Source organism: Homo sapiens, chromosome 2 (genome assembly GCF_000001405.40).
Source record: "Homo sapiens chromosome 2, GRCh38.p14 Primary Assembly".
NCBI classification, from domain to species: domain Eukaryota; kingdom Metazoa; phylum Chordata; class Mammalia; order Primates; family Hominidae; genus Homo; species Homo sapiens.
This window is the reverse complement of record NC_000002.12, coordinates 66,166,187-66,172,210: the sequence shown is the minus strand read 5'-3', so window position 1 is coordinate 66,172,210 and position 6,024 is coordinate 66,166,187. Positions and strand designations below refer to the sequence as shown.

Here is a 6,024-nt window from a genome sequence, read left to right as displayed (position 1 = left end):
AATTGAATAAAATGAAAAACAAATAAAGGGATGATGAAAAGCAAGGTATGTCTGATTCCCTTGGCTTTGCTGTTGGTCAAGCCACTCAGGTCATTCAGTTGGGTCCCCTGTAATTCTTTGCACATTTGAATTTCAACATCAGGCAGAATGGCAAGCCATTCACTGGGCAACCCAGGGCAAAGGGAACCATGCAAACCATAAAATGAAGGAATGCTGACTCCAGCTATCATTGGAATGCCAGGCTTAGGTATCTGGGAGCTGTGAAACCCAAATAGAGTTATAAAGAGATTATATGGCCCTGGATATTGCAAATACGTTATACACTGTTTTCCCTCACTAAAATGAGGCCATGGATAGATACCTCAGTGGAAAAAGCAATTAGTAGTAGGGAATGAAGTTCCGTACTTTTCTTTCCCCATTCTCTCCCTCCCAATCCTTTCAAATCTCCCTTGGGTCCAATTTGGGAATTCTTGCAAAGGCTAAAGTCCAGCAGCTTAACAGCTATTAAACACGGTCGTAAAGTGAAGATGCAGCCTGTGAGTTGGGCTCTTGGCAGCGTCAGAGGAATAAGGCAAACAGCACAACTCTTTTGCTGAAAGGAAATAAAGAAAGAGATGAAGGGAGGGGATGTGGATAAACCAGATTGGGAGTTTCAGATGGCAACCCATGGAGCATACTAACCCACTCTGGTATTGCTATTTAGTACCTGTGAAGTCTACCATTATGCATTATTAAATTCATGTATTATTGAATCACGAATCCTTGTTCCCTGATAAGAAATGGAGATGATTTCTTAGTTTAAATTAAAGCCCTTCCTCCTTATTTGAATAAAACTGCATTACTGTATGCCTAGCATGCTAATCAGAAAACTGCATTAAGCAGGTAGGACTGTACGAATTAAAAAATAATGAAACAAGACTTTTCAGCCAGACATTGTTCCCTCACCTGCTTTTCATGACAGCGGATTTCCTACTTGGAGTTGATAAGACAACGGCAAATGAAGATAACAACATGAGAGGGAAATCATTCACTCTAATGGGCTCCACCTGTGCAGACTTCAGCTCATTTACATGGCTGCAGAAAAATTAGAAATCATGCGGCAATTAGTCTGTTCTAGATTATGCAGTGTGTCAACTGATACCACTCAGGAGAGCACTAGTGCTAAAATGGTTTCAGAAGATAAATCTACTCTCCTATACAAACAGTTTTAATTACCTGGAAAATGGCATTGCCTATTGAGAAATCTCCATTGTGAACCTGGGCTGCTCTCTTGCTATTGGAATCAGATGTTGGGAAATTCCAGTGTTTATGTAATTGACTCATATAGTATTTGATGACCTGTTGAAACTGAAATTGGGCCTCTTGTTCCGGTCCCCAGTTGTTCATCAAAGGCCTCTTTTTTTTTTTTGTTTTTTTGAGACAGAGTCTTGCTCTGTCACCCAGGCTGGAGTGCAGTGGCGTGATCTCAGTTCACTGTAACCTCCACCTCCCAGGTTCAAGCCATTCTCCTGCCTCAGCCTCCTGAGCAGCTGGGACTACAGGCGTGCACCACCACACCCAGCTAATTTTTTGTATTTTTAGTAGAGACAGGGTTTCACCATGTTAGCCAGGATGGTCTCTATCTCCTGACCTCATGATACTCCTGCCTTGGCCTCCCAAAGTGCTGGGATTACAAGTGTGAGCCACCGCACCTGGCCCAAAGGCCTCTTTTAATGTCTACTTCAGAGTTGGTCCAGAAAATGTAGGAGAGGATTAGTTTTTTTCGGCCCTTCTGCTTATAGGTAGTCTTTGCATCGTCAGCCTTAGTTCTCAAAGGTCTATAGAAATCTGAGAAATTATCATAAATTAGTTTCAAATATGAACCTTGAGTCAGCAGATCAAACAACTATAAACATCTCCTTATGAATAAAATGTTAAGACCATAAAGGTTTTTGTTTCTCACTGAAGACATTGAGATAGTATTTTTCTTTATTTGAGACGGAGTCTCGCTCTGTCACCCAAGTTGGAGTGCAGCGGTGAGGCAGTATTTTTCTATTTATTCTGGCCTTAAAGTATATGTATCACTTTCTTTAAAAAGTATATCTAGAGAAGAAATGTTCATAAAAATCTAGTTTTTGCATATATGTATAAGGGATTATTTAAAGGTTTTGCTTTGGGTTGCTTATAGAAGTGCTTATGTATTCACACCCGCTTTATTTCATCATTGTTATTTTTCGGGGGGTAATTGTTTTATTGGATTTGGGGGTAATGAAGTCAGGGTTAATGGATCAATTTTCAGCAGAAGCAATAGTTGAGGAGGGGTATCCTATAAGACAAAGCTTTGGTCCCTGGGTAGGAATTACCTCCTGGGGTGTTGGTGGAATGTCTGTCTTCTGCCTGTATCTTTAAGGATGAGAGGGTCAAGGACTCCTTCAAGAAACAGCAGGCCAGGCCGGGCATGGTGGCTCACACCTGTAATCCCAGCACTTTGGGAGGCTGAGGCGGGCAGATAACAAGGTCAGGAGATTCAGACCATCCTGGCTAACATGGTGAAACCCCATCTCTATTAAAAATACAAAAAATTAGCCGGGTGTTGTGGCAGTCGCCTGTAGTCCCAGCTACTCGGGAGGCTGAGGCAGGAGAATGGCATGAAACTGGCAGGCGGAGCTTGCAGTGAGCCAAGATCACACCACTGCACTCCAGCCTGGGTGACAGAGTGAGACTCCATCTCAAAAAAAAAAAAAAAAAAAAAAAAAAAAAAACCAGCAGGCCAGCACTTAGCATTGTCTGCAGCGATATTTATAGCAATATTTGATATTCATAATATCAAAGGGACTCTAGTTTCCTCTGCTAACCTTTATCTTCATTTCCTCAATCAGTGAAGGCACTTACAGTGACTTCAAAATTTGCATTTAATGCCCAGAATGACAACCTGCCTTTGTTTCTTTGTTGTGGGCCCAGTGTCAGTATCTGCGTGCCTTTATCAGCCACAAAAGATCAAAAGGTGTGCAAAATACAATAAATGGCAGACAGAATACAGCAGATAAAGCCACACCTCTGCAAAATACCCTGGATTTGGTGAGAACTTAGAGCAGGAGTTAGCTGAGGGAGTTTGCAGTATGGTGCCCAGAGTATAAGATATAATCCACCACACGAGATTCCATTGACTAAGAGCATAGTAGAGCACTCAGAACATGGGACAAAATTAACATCTGAACAGTATCCCATTCACTGTAAGCCCAAGGAGACTCAGTCCTTCATCTTGTTCTCTATCTCTGCTAACTCCCTGGTGATCTCTTTCTGAAATATGACTTTAAATACCAGAAAATGCTGGATACTTGGAAATGTTACATCTCCAGCCCAGACCTCTCCCCTGAACTCCAGATGCATATATCAGATTCAACTGCCTACTTGACATCTCCTCTTGAAAGTTTAAGAAACAGACTTTCATGAAACTCCTGATTTCCCCATATAAGCATGCCTTCCCTATCTCAAAAAGGTAGCAATTCCATTCTTTCAGTCACTCAGTCCTCTCTTTTTCTCATCCCACCTCTGAGAAGGAAATCCTGTTGGCTATTACCTTCAAAATATATCCAAAATCTGGCCACTTCTTACCACTTACACTGCAACTCCCCTGATTCAAGCCCCCATCATCTCTCATCTCAATGATTGTCATGGTCTCTAAGTGACCTCCTCAACTTTGCTCTTGACACCTACTGCCCATGATTATCACATTAGCCAGAGTCTGTCATGCCAGACCTTCAACAGTGGCTTCTATGTCTTTCAGAGGGAAAGCCCAGATCCTCACAATAGCCAGAAGACCTTACTGATCTCCCACCCACACCTTACCTCTTTGACACCATCTCATAGTCACCTCTGCCCTGCTCATTCTGCTCTAGCTACATTGGACTTCTGAATGTGTTTTTAAAAACATGTTAGGCATGCTCTACCTTGGGAATTTTTTTCTATTTATTTTGTCCTATGCATGAATGATTCTTCCTCCAGATATCTGCGTGGCTAACTCACTCATCTCCCTTAAGTCTTTGTTTAAATGACACCTTCTCAATGAGCCTTTCACAGACCACCTTATTTGAAATTTGAACACTCACCATGATATCCCCTATTCGTTTCTCTGCTTTCTTTTTCTCCATAGCACTTACTTTACGTGAAATTATAACTTTACTTAATGATTTACTGTCAATGTCTTCCTGCTAAAAAGTAAACACAGTGAAGATAGAGATTCTTTTCTCAGTTCTCCACTGCTATAACCTCAGTGCCTGGAATAGTGCCTGGAATGTAGACAACATTTTTTAAAAGAAAGAGAAAAACATTTACATATCTTTTTATTCACATAAGATAATATTTAGGAGAGAAAGATATGTATGACAGGTCAGTGCTGTGCAAGGCAGTTTATATGTAATGCTAACAGCTGTGACAAACATCTCTAAATCCTAATGCCTTCATGCAAAAGTTTATTTCTCATTTGTACCAAAGCCCACTGTAGATGGCTCCTGGTTGTGCATGTCTTCTGGATGTCTCTCCTACAAGTAGTAACTCAGAGATCTAAACTATTTATATGTATCTTTATCTATGTCCTCAGAATATTTGACTTATACCAAACAAGAGACAGAGGCAGATAGAGAGTGATTTCATGAAGTTTTACATAGAATACCTGTATTGCATGGGGCAGGCTTATAAGTGGCATACATATTTTTGCTCATCTTTCTTTGACCAAAACTCAGGTACATGGTCTCATCTTGATACAAAGATGGTGGGAAGGGGGCTGGAAAAAGTAGCTTAACTATGTGCCCCCTTCCCACCATATAGCTTAACTATGAGAAAGTAGAACAAGATGGTGAACATTAGCAGTCTTTATGACATATTACTAGATGATATAAATTGATAAGATAAACACCATATCCCTTATAGGCCCTGAATAGCTTACTCATAGAAGAGAAAATAGAAAAGCTAATGAACATATAAAGGGATTGTATAACCTCAGTATTTCAAATAAAAATGAAAATTTTAATGAGACAACATTTTAGGAAGTTCTTTTCTAGTTTGCTGAGTGTCTATTATGAATGGTTGTTTAATGTTGTCAAATGTTTTCTTGTCCGCCTTTATTGTGATAATAACTATTTTCTTCTTTAGTTTGCTAATATTATTAATTACATTAATTAACTTTTGAATGTTAAAACAACCTTGCATTCTTGGGATAAAGTACAGTTGGTCATAATGTATTAGACTTTTTTCGTATATTGTTGAATTCAATTTATGAATGCTTTGTTAAGGATCTTTTTGTTCATGATCATGAACAATATTGGTCTGTGATTTTCTTTTACTGTAATGTCTTCATTAGGTTTTGGCATCAGAGAAATTGAGAAGTATTCCTTCATTGTCCATTTCTAGTCTACTTTCAAAAAGAGTTTGTGTAACTTTGGTATTATTTCTTCCTTAAAAGTTTGACAGAATTCAGTGGAGCCATCTAAACTGAGTTTTCTTTGAGGTAGAATTTTTAGTAACAATTTCAATTTATTAAATAGACTTAGGGAAATTCAGAATTTTTACTTTCTTCTGTGTAAGTTTTGATACATTGTGTCTTTCTTTTCAAGGAATTTGTCTATTTCATCTAAGTTCTGGAATTTATTGGCATAAAATTGTTCATAATATTCCCATATTACCATTTTAATGTGAAATATCATCTTAAAAGTCCATGTTAGTGAATTGAATATGCAACGGGATTTATATTTTCATGTACTGCTGATGAGAGAGTAAATTTGAACAACCTTCTGGAAGGCAATTTGACAATGTGTACCAAATGGCTTTTAAGTATTTATACTCTATAAAAAGATGCATAAAACTTGTTAAGATAAAAAAACTTTATCAAACATATAGTTGTACTATATGATTAAATTCTGACAAATGTATGTATATTTACACTTTTGGAGTATACATATTTGATGTGCATATGATGTGTAGGTATTTCATACGTGACTATTTCATGCTTTTTTGGTCTGTTCTCAAATGTCTAACACTTTTTCTCTC

General features: G+C 38.5%; 1 annotated feature.

Annotated features, from left to right (window-relative positions):
* Positions 485 to 1,684: an enhancer, noted in NCBI's record as "MED14-independent group 3 enhancer chr2:66397659-66398858 (GRCh37/hg19 assembly coordinates)". NCBI's record gives its function as "activates an origin of replication core promoter dependent on BRD2, BRD4, P300/CBP and CDK7 cofactors, and independent of MED14, by STARR-seq in HCT116 cells {active_cell/tissue: HCT116}" and the evidence as "EXISTENCE:reporter gene assay evidence [ECO:0000049][PMID:35650434]".